Below are 14,047 nucleotides of genomic sequence, written 5' to 3' on the forward strand. Positions count from 1 at the left end.
TTACCCTGTGTGAGCTTCTGTCTTTCTGGACAACTCTCTGTTTCTTGGACTTGCCACCTTCTGTTAGAACGTTGCCTGTAGCTCTCTTTCCTCTCTGAGCCTAGCCACAGCAGATTGCTTCGCTGGTCCAGTTCTTCATCCCTCCCTTTATTCATATGTGGGCAATGGCATCAGCATGAGCAGAGTACATTTCTCTGACTCTTGGCTTTGATCATGAACAGGTGAGTTGCTTTCGTCAATTGTATATGGGTGGAAGTGATAGTGTCCAAGCCAAAGCCTTCAGAGGTTTTGAAGGTTTCCACCTGCACTGCTGAGCCTCTGCCATCACTCCAAGCAGAATTTGTCCTGGGAAGCTGCTGCCCCCTCACTCTGTGACCCAGAATGAACCCATGTGCAGAAGAGAAGCCCCGACCTTAGTAGGGTGACAGCATCAGTTGGACCCATAGCTTAAAGCAGAGCTGCCAAGCAGAACCCAGCCTACGTCAGCCAACTAGCTGATCCCCAGCCAACCTGAGGACACATAAGCAATAATAAGTGTTATCTTAGGCCACTGAGTTTTGAGGTAGTTCATTACGTAGTCAAAGTCAATGAATATGTTGGCCAATGCTGACTTTGCAGGTTGCAGTTTGACCACCTCATTTTTGCTAGGAAACCTTCTTGGATCTACCTCCATGCCTCTCTTAAGTCTGTGATGATTGCCACTTGTATGTGCCCCCATAGAGAACTTATCCAACTCTATTGTGTCTTTCCTCCAGACAAAGGCACAGATCTCACCTGTCTTATGCGACTGCATCTCTGAACAGTTTCTTCATTCACTCTGCAAATCTCTCCTGAGCATTTGCCAAATTCCAGGCATTGTCTTAGGAAGTGATGTACAAAGCTCCTGCTTGAAGGAAGCTCACATTCTTCTGGGAGGAACAGGGAAAACCACACACCGACACACACACGCACACCCCACAGTAGTGAAAAAGGAAAACAAAGTAAAGAGGAAAAGAGCTCTGGAGAAATGTTGCTTTGTTGTTTTGGATGGGGCAGGAAGGAAGACTGACTATGTGAACACTGATACAGACATGTTGCTAGTTTGATGGCTGCGGATACAAGCAATTTCTTTCCCCATTGCCTCTACTTTCTCGCTGAAATAAGAAAGCACAATCAACAGTGCCCCGCCTGATGAGCAATGCATCGAATGAATGAGTAAATGGGTTTCAAGCTCAGTGCAAAGCGTATCCATGCAGGTTGAAAAAACATGAATGTGGACATAATGACAGAGAGGTGAGTGCACTGATTCTTGAGGGGGCATTAAAAATAGCCATGCACTTGTAGCTAATGAAGAAATGCATTAAAAAACTCCTTAGGTGGTGAAAGAAGAGATAGGAGTGAATAAAGCTAAAATAGTTGTGGGATTTGCTTTATAAATATTTTGGAACCAGCTTATTTGAATATAAAATGTCTTGGTTGCAAGAAAGAGAAACATTGTTGGATTAAGTCAGGAATATCAGGAGGGAGATGGTTAAAAGGCTACCCAGAAAACTCGCGGAAACAGCCAGACCTGGAGAAAGCAGGGACAGAGGAGCCATCAGAAACCAAGGCTGATACTGTCTCCTCATTGTACTATTGCAATCAGTTTCCTTTGCTCACTTGTAAAGCCCAACAGAAGAACTAAACCCAAAGTCCACAGGGCTCTTGACCTCATGCACCCACCACTGACTAGCCTGTTGTCAAGGTCTCTTACTTCTTGAGGGACAGAGAAGTGCTCTTTGGCTCAACTCAGTCTTCGACGCTCTATTAACCATATAGGTCACTGCCATGAGCTATTGCAAATGACTAGGGTGGTGTCCTGTCATCTATAGAGTGCTCCTTCCTGAAGCTACAGGTAGGATGAGTAGAGCTCAGATCCATATGTTGTGGAAGCCACAGGCTCCAGACATCCTTAGTTGGGTAGGATCTCACAGATCTCATGAAGTTGTAGAGAATATTAATTTTATAAGTTAAAACTAGATTGTGTCCATTTTATCTCTTCAATAGAAATACAACTTAGGCTGGGTGGTGGCTCACGTCTGTAATTGCAGCACTTCAGCAGGCTGAGGCAGGTGGATCACCTGAGGTCAGGAGTTTGAGACCAGCCTGACCAACATGGAGAAATGGTGTCTCTACTAAAAATACAAAATTAGCTGGGCGTGGTGGCTCATGCCTGTAATCCCAGCTACTCTGGAGGCTGAGGCAGGAGAATCTCTTGAAGCCGCGAGGCGGAGGTAGCAGTGGGCTGAGATTGTACCATTATATTCCAGCCTGGGCAATAAGAGCAAAACTCCATCTCAAAAAAAAAAAAAAAGAAAAAAAAAGAAAAGAAAAGAAATACATCTTATACACTGTTTTTTTTTTTTTTTTTTTTTTTTTTTTTTTTTTTTTTTTGAGACGGAGTCTCTCTCTGTCGCCCAGGCTGGAGTGCAGTGGTGCGATCTCAGCTCACTGCAAGCTCCGCCTCCCGGGTTCACGTCCTTCTCCTGCCTCAGACTCCCGAGTAGCCGACCGCCACCAAGCCCGGCTAATTTTTTTGTAGTTTTAGTAGAGACGGGGTTTCACCGTGTTAGCCAGGATGGTCTCGATCTCCTGACCTCGTGATCCGCCCGCCTCGGCCTCCCAAAGTGTTGGGATTACAGGCGTAAGCCACCGTGCCCGGCCCTTATACACTTTTTAAAACAAGTGGCCCATATTTCTTCCACATGCCATTTATATGCATAAGCTGATTGAATGAAAAAATAAAATCTTTTTATCCATTGCTGACCTGAAATAAGTACACACCAGGTGTCATGATCTGTCCAGGTACAGAGTGAAGGCCAACTCTACCATCATTAGTCAAAAAAAAAATTTTCCAAGCTCTCAAGTGAAAATATAATGAAAATACAATGAAATTCTAATTCCAAAGACTTGTATTCAAATTTTGGCAATTACAAATATTGGTATAATGGCAAGACTTGTATCTTCTCCAAGCCTCAGTTTCTATATTAATAAAAAAGCAAACAATGTCAGGTAGAATAGCTCTAAGAATTAAATGAATGAATACACAACAAATGCTAATGTTTTGGTAAACTCTAAAGTACAATATAAATGTTATTCTATTGCAAATAAGAACATACCTCCACTAACCAGTGTGTTTTTGTTCAAAAGTCAACAGGAATTGTACTGTATTTGGCTGGATAAAGCTTATCATGAGATGGATGTATTCCAGACATAGGAATATGCCTTTACTTTCTCTTAACATTTTATTTTTGTGAATACATCAGAATCCACATAGAAATAATCAGCACTGTATTATCGTAGAATGTTGAACAACCAAGTGAAGATTCTACAATATTTGAAGAAATGTTTTCAGCAGCTTGAAAATGATGATGCTTATTAGGATTGCACAGATTTTTGACTCTAAGTTTTCTGTGCTCAATAGCAAATTTTTTTTCTATATATGTTGGAGAATGTGGAGTGCCTGGGAAAAGAAAAAAATTATCCACATCTACATTTGGACATTCGGTTTTGAAGATGGAAAAGTTGTGAGCCAAGGAATATGGGCAGCTATATTCACACGTCTGATCAATGAAAAAAGGAGGCCTTACACAAGCCAAATCTTATGATGGAATGGCAAGAGCTTTGAAAGGAAATTCCCCAGTAGGGAGGAGCTTGACAAGTTCAGCCAGACTCAGCCATAGGATGTGGTGTCAAAGCACCATATCTGTTCCAAAATAGGCAAAATAAGGGCCCCTCAGAAATGTCCATGTCTTAATTTCTGGAACTTGTGAATATGTCATATTACATGGTAAGGGGAAATTGAGTTGCAGATGGAGTTAAGGTTGCTAATCAGTTGACTTTAAGATAAGAATATTATTTGGGATTATCTTCACAGGCCCAAGGCAATCATAATAGTCTTTGCAAGTAGAAGAAGAATCAGCGTCAAAGTAAGGCAGGGTGAGAAAAACTTGACCTGCTATTAATAATTTTGTAGAAGGAAGGGGGTCATGAGCCAACGAATGTGGGCAGCATCTGGGAGCTGGAAAAGGCGAAAAAAAAAAAAAAGAAAAGAAAAGATTCTCTCCCAGAGACTCCAGAGAGAACACGGCCCTGCTGACACTTTTTGTTGAATGAGACCCATTTTGGGCTTCTAGCCTCCAGAGCTATAGGACTATGAATTAGTATGGTTTTAAGTTACTAGGTTTGTACTAATTTGTCACAGCAGCAATAGGAAACTAAAGCAAACACCAGACCTAAGCTTCCTCCTGCCTCAGGTGGGATAATTCAGGCATGATGTGCATGGTTTCAGTGGGTTGGAGCCTCTGCTGCCCACTGCAGTACACTCTTCACTGCGTACCCTGTACCCTCTTTCCCTTTCTCACTTCATCTTTTTCCTGGGGTAAATACTTAATTCCAGATAAATGACTTGCCTCACATTTCTACCTTGGGATATGCTTCTAGTGGAACCCAGACTCATGGAAGGGGAAGATCATGAGTGATAAATTCCAGGTTGTGGTCTGCTTAAAAGGATGCAAGAGTTTGTGTTGCTTCCTCAAGGCCTTTGGTGTAGTTGAGAGTTGTTTCTGCCTGCCTTCATTCCGCTTTCTTCTGATAAAGCATCTCGCCTTTGTTCAAGGCACCCCCTTGTCAAACAACCGTGTGAGCCCCTGTCTCCAGGTGAAGACACCTACCCAGCCGGCCTGGGGCATATGTATTCTTTTGGCTTCCATGAATGTTTTTGGTCTGGGTAAGTGCAATCTGCTTCAATAACTTTCTCTTTCGCTTAGGCTGCCTGTTTGTGTGGATCTGGGCCAGAGCTTTCCTGCAGCCATTTGTAGTCATCTTGCAGATTCTCAAGGGGAGAGGCTACTTGAGAATAAAGCTGGCAGGGAGGAAAGCAGAGCAAGAGAGCAAGATTGAGAAGGAGAAGACAGGCTATAGGGCATCTTAGGGGCCAGGGAGTCAGCACATCTGATGCGAGCTCTACCTTGGGACTTTCCATAAGACTCTAAATTTGTTTTCATTTGCATTGAAACTAGTTTGAGTTTGGTTTCCATCTCTTACACCCCCAAATATCCTAACTAATACAGACTTGATCATATTGCTGGTCTTCACTGGTCACCTGTATCTATTGGCAAAATGTGTTTCAGAAAGTGGCAGGATGGGGCTTACTTATTGAACTAAACAGCCTGTGCACTAAAGAATGGCCCTAGGTGGGTCCAACCTAGCAAGTGGTGTGAGGAGCTTGCTTCCTGTAATGAGGAAGTGAGGGGTGGAAAGCTTGGGAGATGGCTCACTAGGTAAGGTGACATTTGGGGCTTGGCATCTAGGACCAGTGGTTTAGGCTAAGTTTGAGACCAGCCTGTCTAGTCTCCTCTGAGGATGGCTGTCTTGGTGGAGCAATGTTAAAGGAGTAGAAGGCAGGAGTGAGCTCTGGTCTGCCACAGGAGACCACACTTTGCAGAGTGATTAAGAGAAAGTGGCACATTACCAAACCTCCAAGTTCCACTTCTGCATCCCCAGGAGTCTCACTGGGAATCCAGGCCAGCCCCAAGGCCAGGCTCAAAGCCTTCATTGTTTCCAACAATGACTTAAATCCATTTCATTGCCAATTTCCAGAACTTGATCTGAATTTTATTTATCATCCATCCATTAAACTCCTACTGTGTGTCAGCAAGGAGTTATTAAAGATACTCTCAATTTGCCTGCAGTCTAGGGGTAACATATGGCAATAGGGATAGCTTGAATCACACGATATTAAGGATGGAACAGGGGAACAGTAATTCAAGTGACCACTGACTTAGCATCAGAAATAATGGAGGACATAAGAACCTGTGAAACATCTCTAAAAAAGAAAAGAAAAATTATCAAAGTAGATTTTTTTTAAATCCAGCAAATACATGCTTCAGGAATTAAGGTGAAATAAAGACATTTTTAGATTACAGAAAACCAAAAGAATCAACCACCAGCAGACCTATACTAAAAGGCCATCTTCAGGCTGAAGGGAAATGATACCAGACAGAGGCTTACATTTTCAGGATGACAGGAAGAGCTCTAGAAATAATACATTTGTGGGTATATATAAAAGTTGTTTTCTCTTAATTTATTCAAAATATATATTACTAATTAAGGTATTGGTTGTAAAAGTACAATCTGTGGGTCAAATCCAGCCCGTTGCTTATTTTAGTAAATACAGTTTTATTGGAACCACAGCCACATTCATTCCTTTAAGTATTGTCCATGGCAATACATTCTCTCTCTCTCTCTCTCTCTCTCTCTCTCTCTCTCTTTCTTATTACAAGAGCATATTTGACTAGTGACAAACTGTATGACCCCAAGAGCCTATAATATTTATGATCTGGCCCTTTACACAAAAGGCTTGTCAACTTTTGGTTTAAAGCAGAAATTATAACGTTGAGGGTTTAACATATGCAGATATAATACATATGACAATACGAAACTCTATGTTGCAAGGTTCTTACATTCTAAGCATAGTACAATGCTAACTCTAATAGACAGCGAGAAGTTAAAGATGCATATTTTAATCTCTAGAGCAGCCACAAAATAATAATGCAAAAAAGTATGGCGATAAAGGAAATAAATAAATTAAAATGGGATCTCAGTATTAAAGAAAGGAACTCCAAAGCCATTTTCTTCAAACATTGGCCACATGTCAATCGTCCCTCTTATGTCTTCATAAATGGGATCCAGCTTCTGCCTGAACCACCTGTGAATGCCCTGACACTCCTGAGATAATTAGATATAAAAGAAAGAGTATGCTTCGTAATAAATATAAAATGTTTTAATAGAAAATTGATACATTTAGAGAACTGATCTCTTGGTGTTCAAGAGAGGTTGTTTCTCCTTCCTTGACATTTGGCAAATCTGATAAAGACATCGAGTACCTGCTTGTGTGATTTACTGTCTTCATGTTTGTTTTGAGTTCAGTCCCCAGATGACCCATAAAAAGTTGTGGCTCTCCTGGGAGAATGAAATAATAACGTACAGACTTCTTGAAGGTTTTTACTTATTTTTCAAACACGCTTTAGTTATTTGTTATCACCTAATGCATAAAATATTTTTTAAAATCCGTGTTCTAATTTTTATAAAGTTGGAAGACTTTTCTTCTTCTTTTCTGTAAGAATATTCTAGGGCAAATGCTGTTTGCACTTTTTTAGTCAATTGATATTTTTAAATATCTTGTAAATTCAGAAGCAAATGATTGAAATAATCTTAGATTCCTCTTTAATAGCTATTCTTACTAGATTTTCATAAAATAAGTCAGTAGAGCATGTGCAAGACTGCTCAATGATAGAAACTTATAAAAAGTTTTAAATTTCTTACTTAAAGAGCTATTATAGGAACCATAGAGTTTTAAAAGTTTTTCCTTTGCTCAGGTGAGATGACATTCAAGTGAAAACCCTAGTAGACTTATTTCACTGGACATATTTCTTCTTTATTCTTAAGGTTCAATTTCTCCTCCATTGAAAACATTTTTAAAATAAAAGCTAGTATAACAAAGTGTCCAATTACTGTTTGGAGGTCAGCTGGCTGTAAAAATTCCTCCTGAAGCCACATCACATCTATGGGCAGGTTAGAGAAGTACTTTTACCTTTCACTGATGTCTGACTGGGGATGCCCTGGCCCTCCTAGTGACCACTCAGCACAATGACATTGTAAGATACACAGCTCATGCCTGACTGCTCCATCAGAGCTTAATCGTTCTCAGAATTCATTCTGTGATTTTATTCACAGAACTTTTTGCCTTATAAATAAAATTTCCAACTTCCTGCCTCACTAGAAATTATATGCTTTCTGAAAACACTGTATTGCTTTGTATAATTTTCCATTCTGTTTCTTGATAATGGGAAACACTCCACAAGACTGAGATGACTAATTTAGTTAAATTGGTATAGAATTTGAGATTGAGTATTAGGTAGAAGTACTTTAGCAGATGACTGATACCGGTGTTGGAATAAGTAGGTTGGGCTTTTCATTATAATTTAGTCATTTGATAGCTGAGAGTCTGAGCTTTAGACAAAGCTGAAATAAACACCTTAAGAGGAATATCTCTTTACTTTTGAACCATGGTCTGCAACATCGCTGAACTCCCCTCAGTGCCATACATGGTGCAGACAGGCTCAGCAGAAGAAACTCAGTGCCTGCAATCCTAGGAAAACACAGTCTCTCTGGAAAATGCTGTGCATGGGATATTTGCTTTGCTATCACATGGAATTCAGTCATGAGATTTGAAGACGTTCAACTGTGCTTCTCTAAAATCAAACCAGACATGCTGCATGGTTGATTTTAACCGGTGTGCAAGCAGCTGTAGTTTCCCTTTCTTTAAAATAACTTTGAAAGGTTTCTCAAAACTTCCAATAATATTTTATGTTAATGTGAACTAAAGTGCTTCAGACTTTGCCATATATTTCTAAGCCTTAATAATATAATATGACTATTAGCAAATAAACTAGGTACTTTTTAGGCATTATCTCACATTTAATTTTTACAAGCCTATAACAGAGATACTAATATTATCCTTGTTTTAAACTGAGGCATAGACTAATTAAGGAATTTTTCCAATGTCACAGTTTGCAACAATGGTGGGATTTAAACCAGAAGTCTGATTCCAAAGTCTACTGTCTTACCCATTATGTAGTTAGCTTCAGTTATGAAGCTCTCCATAAATTTATGGTCAAACAATATTCACTTGCAGTAGATGGAAAATTATTATGCAACCACTAGAGAAGATCAGATGAGATTCTAGTAAAAGGAAACTTCTGTGCATCGTCAACTTCTCAATGTCCATCATGATCATAACAGTATTTTTTTTTTTTTTTGAAATGGAGTCTTTCTCTGTCACCCAGGCTATAGTGCAGCGGCGAAATCTCGGCTCACTGCAACATCTGCTTCCTGGGCTCAAGCGATTTTCCAACCTCAGCCTCCCGAATAACTGGGATTACAGGCATGCGCCACCATGCCCGGCTAATTTAGTATTTTTAGTAGACATGGGGTTTTGCCATGTTGGTCAGGCTGGTCTTGAACTCCTGACCTCAGGTGATCCGCCTGCCTTAGCCTCCCAAAGTGCTGGGATTACAGGCGTGAGTCACCATGCCTGGCCGATCATAACAGTCTTAATTGCAATTTGTTAAATAATAATTTAAACTGAAATGATATTTACCTGTAGAGACCCCAGGATCCACAGTTATATCTGTTTCCCAACATCAGAGACTTTCTTTTATGGGGCTTGCAGGAATTCTACCAATATTTACTGAGTACTTCTGATGAATCAGACATTGGTCTAAGAACTGTAAGAGACTGAAAGATCAATAAGAAAAATCCCTATCCTTTAGACAATTGGGATCTAGCAGGGAGGCAAGAGAAGCTTACTCAAGTAACCACTGAGTTTTAAGCAAAATACAAGTGGAATAGAAGAGAATGAGATCAGAGTTTCCGTGACAATCTGGGAAGACTACAGAGAGAAGGTGAGATTTGAACAAGGCTTTAAACAATGAAACCACTAGGACTTTGAAAGGCAGATAATGGCCATGCAGAGTTGGTAAAATAAGGAAAATATTGGACTGGGAGTAAAAATAGAGATTTTTTAAACTCCAGGCTTATTTCAAGGTCTTCCAATTACCGTCTAACTACCTTGGTCAAATCATTCATTTTTTTGTGCCTTAGTTTCTGCAGTTGTAAAAAAGAGACTGCATTCTGGGGCTCTAGTAAGAATTAAATAATACACAGTATTGAGAACAGTTAATAAAGAGGCTATGAAATACTGACTATTTTAATTTATTATTTAGTAGTAGAAGAAATAGTGTTTAAGGAAAGAACCAGCAAAAGCAAAGACACACAACAGGCACCTCTCTAATTAATAAATGAAAATGTTTATTTATTTGATACCTATTATTTGCTGCTGGGTGCTTTGCACATATTGCCCCATTTAATGCTGACAGTGATGAAGCAGCATTTGAATGATTTATTTAATCTCTCGTTTTTCTCATCTATAAACAGCAGTTAATATCTCAAATTTTTGTATGGCTATAATAATGATTATATGAGATAATATGTGGAAAGGATATGGTACATGGCAGACATTTGAGAAATGCTTGCTTTTATCATTTATTGTTCCTCCATCTACCTATTTCCTGATGAACATTTCACCTAGTCCCTGGCTCATACCCTTGATCTTGACATTACTAATAATTACATAATTGACTGCCCTTCTGGTTTCCTGACTTGAGTCCTGTGTAGGGAAGACCTTACTTTGGTCTAAATACCCACTCCATCACATCCTCATGTGACCTTGGTCATATTATTAACCTCTTTGTCTCAGCTTCCTCATCTGTGAATGAGCATCAGAATAGATGCCTGTCATTGTGGCTGTCATGAGAAGTAAGCAGCATAATAAGTGGAATGTACTTAGTTCAGTGCTTGGTACAAATTGATTACTCTGTAAATGGTTAAATGGTTATCCATGTTAGTCACTGTCACTTTAGTCCAAGATACCCAGGTTTCTCATCATCATGTGATTCTGTGGTCAGGTCTACCTTCATACTGTCTCCCTTCCTACACACTTGCCCTTCCAAATCCCTTCCAAATGCCTTTCTCTATCAGAAGTCAAAGCAATCCTTTAAGAAATGGAAGTCAGAGCATGCCTTTCTCCAGATTAAAACTCAACAATATCTCCCCATGTTTTTCACCTATTCTACAAGGCTCTTCTTGACCTAGCCTAGTCTTCCCACCTGACTTTATTTCCTTCTTCTATGGTACCAGTCATCCTGGACTTCTTTCCATTCCTCAAACATGTCAAGCTCTTTCCTACCTCAGGGACTTTGTACTTGCAATTTCCTCTGCCTGGAATGTTCTTCCCAACCCAGATCTTGGCATGACTGACTGTTTTTGTTGTTGTTGTTGTTGTTTTTGTTTTGTTTTGTTTTGCTTTTTTGAGACAAAGTCTTGCTCTGTCACTTAGGCTGGAGTGCAATGGCGAGATCTCCGCTCGGTGCAACCTCTGCCTCCTGGGTTCAAGCAATTCTCCTGCCTCAGCCTCCCTAGTAGCTGGGATTACAGGTGCCCACCACCACTCCTAGCTAATTTTTTGTATTTTAGTAGAGATGGGGTTTCACCATGTTGGCCTTGAATGCCTGATCTCAAGTGATCGGCCCCCCTTGGCCTCCCAAAGTGCTGGGATTACAGACATGAGCCACCATGCCTGGCCTGCATGACTGACTCTTATTGTTTGTGACTATAAACATTACTTCCCCAGAAACTTGCTTCCTAACCTACAACTTAAAATAGTGTTTGGTCACTATTTGAAGAGTAGACAATCACACTTTAAATAGATAATCTAATGCTATGCCCTATTGTATTCCCCTCATAACAGTTACTAGTGTCTTGATATTTTATTTCTATTTGTTTATTTTTTTTGTTTGTTTCCCATCTGAGGAGAATAAAAGTCTGGTGAAAGCAGAGACCATATTTATTTTATTCATCATTCTGAGAATTGGATGGGACAATCAGAGCTCAGTAAATATTTGTAATGAATCTGTAAACCAAGGACAACGGTAGGATCCCTCTTACAGGACTTTATGAGTGTTAACCAAGATAATGCATGTAAACACCTTCGTACAGTGCCTGGAACACAGTCAGGTCTCAGTGGATGCCAAATCATTAGGTTCAGGTAATAAAATTGTATATGGAGCTCCATTCTTGCCCTCAAGTGCCTCAAAGGCCAGAGTGAAGAAGGAGATGGCTCACAAATGAATATGTCATTTACTACCATTACTTTCAATGGCAAAAATCGCAGTTACCTTGGCACCAACCTAATAGTAAGTGGTCTGATGGAAATATATACCAGGGGCCCCTGGTGCAGAGAGGAGAAGGTAATTCAAGCTTCCAAGAGTGGATAGAAAGCTGAATGGAGGACAGGGCTCTCCAGGTGAAGGTATTTTCAGACAGAGGGGCTTGCCTATGAAAAGGCACTTAGGAGATGGTGAGCATTTTGAGGTCTTACGGGAACTGACGGTGTATGTGGGGAGTGATAGGGATGATGCTGGAGAGGCAGGTTGTGGCCAGACTCTGGAGGCCTAAGTTTTTCAGGAGTTTTAGCCTTGTATCCAGAATAGATTATGCACAGCAGCACGAAGAGAAACAATACGAAGCAAATCTACAAGGCAAGGGTTCTCAGGCTTTTTCTTTAATAAATATATAATGAAATAGCTATTACCTGTATACAAGCTATTAATGTTTTTAGCTACCCTGAAAAACTGTTAGCATAGTTTTTAACGTGCTCCCTTTTTTTTTTGAGATGGAGTCTCGCTCTGTCACCCAGGCTGGAGTGCAGTGGCGTGATCTCAGCTCACTGCAACCTCTGCCTCCCGAGTTCAAGCAATTCTCCTGCCTTAGCCTCCTGAGTAGCTAGGACTACAGGCACATGCCAAACACCCAGCTAATTTTTTTTTTTTTTTTGTATTTTAGTAGAGACGGGGCTTCACCGTTTTGTCCAAGCTGGTCGTGAACTCCTGAGCTCAGGCAATCCGCCCTCCTGGGCCTCCCAAAGTGCTGGGATTACAGGCGTGAGCCACAGCACCCGGCCTATTGTGCCCTTTTTACAGGTGAGAATGATGAGGCTCAATCTCTTGACTCCAAATCTGGTGCATTTGCTATACTATAGTGCTTTACTGGACAACTTTTGGGGGTGGGGTTGAAAATCAAAGACTAAAAAAGTGACCCTTGCAAGGGCTGAGGTGGAAGCCATTGGCAATAAACTTGCTGCCCCGTCAGAGAGGCAGCTGTTCATTTTCACATGCCCCAAAGAAAAATTCCACTGCCTGCAATCACCACTTCCACTGTGGGCTGCTGCAGCATGAGCAAAAGCATGAGCAAACCTCATGTCACCAGCTGCCTGCCTATGGCTGCTCCTAAAGAAAGCAAATCTGCCCTCCCAGTAGCAGGGCCACAGCACAGCCACTGCCCCACTCACCTGAGCATTCTACGGCAACTGGGGGATTTCCCCAACCATGCCTATCACAGATAGTGCCTGCATGTACCACTGGGGAGCCTGAAAGCAGGTCTACCTGGCTTGACTCTACTTCCCACTCCCAGACCAGAGCACACTGTACATGGGCCTGGGGCTCACCCAGCCCAGTCTACCATGGGTGGCACCTGAGCAATTCTCCTGGGGTCTGAGATCAAGCCCATGCAACCAGCCACTACCACCGCAGCTGACCACCTAATTGCTTCACCTGTTGGTCTTGGAACCAGTTCATCCAACCCATCACAGCCACTGTCTATATCAGCACAGACTGCTTGGGTCCCAGAAGGTTATCCCACCACTGCCACTGCCACTGGCTATGTCACACCAGCTGCCCAAGGGATCAAGAACCTGCCCAACTGCCCAACCAACTGCTGATATTCCCAGCACACAAACAAGCCACCTGGAGGCTGAATAATTGGTGTGTCTGGACTCAGTAACACCAGTGTCAGCATATGCCACTCTGGTGCCCAAGGACAGTTCATTGATGACACCATTGGTGCTTGAGGACTGGCCTATGTGGCATCCCAGTTCCCCACAAAACTTCACCACAACCTCCACTAACAACTGCACCCTAAGCTGCCAAGAAATTATAGACACTGCTGATGCTGTTTCCAGCTGAAGAAGCCACACACAAACTACACTACTGCACATGTCCAGAATCAAAGCCAAGATGCCGTACACAACCAACGTTATAGCTACATCTCCAGGAAAATGTTTTCCTTTACAAAAGCAACTGGAAAAAATTGGAAGAAGTGACCATTACACCAGGTGCAAAGATATCAGTGTAAGGATAGAGGATACATGAAAAAGCAAGGAAATATAACACCTCCAAATAAACACAATAATTGTCCAGCAATAGAACCTAATCAAAAGAAATTTATAAAATCCTCAAAAAAAGAATTAAAAAATATTGATAGTAAAGAAGCTCAATGTGAACTTCTTTTTGGATTAATTCAATTCAATTTTTAGAATTCAATTCAATTCCATTTTTAGAATTCAATTCAA

This window comes from Homo sapiens, chromosome 20 (genome assembly GCF_000001405.40).
Source record: "Homo sapiens chromosome 20, GRCh38.p14 Primary Assembly".
In the NCBI taxonomy this organism is placed as follows: domain Eukaryota; kingdom Metazoa; phylum Chordata; class Mammalia; order Primates; family Hominidae; genus Homo; species Homo sapiens.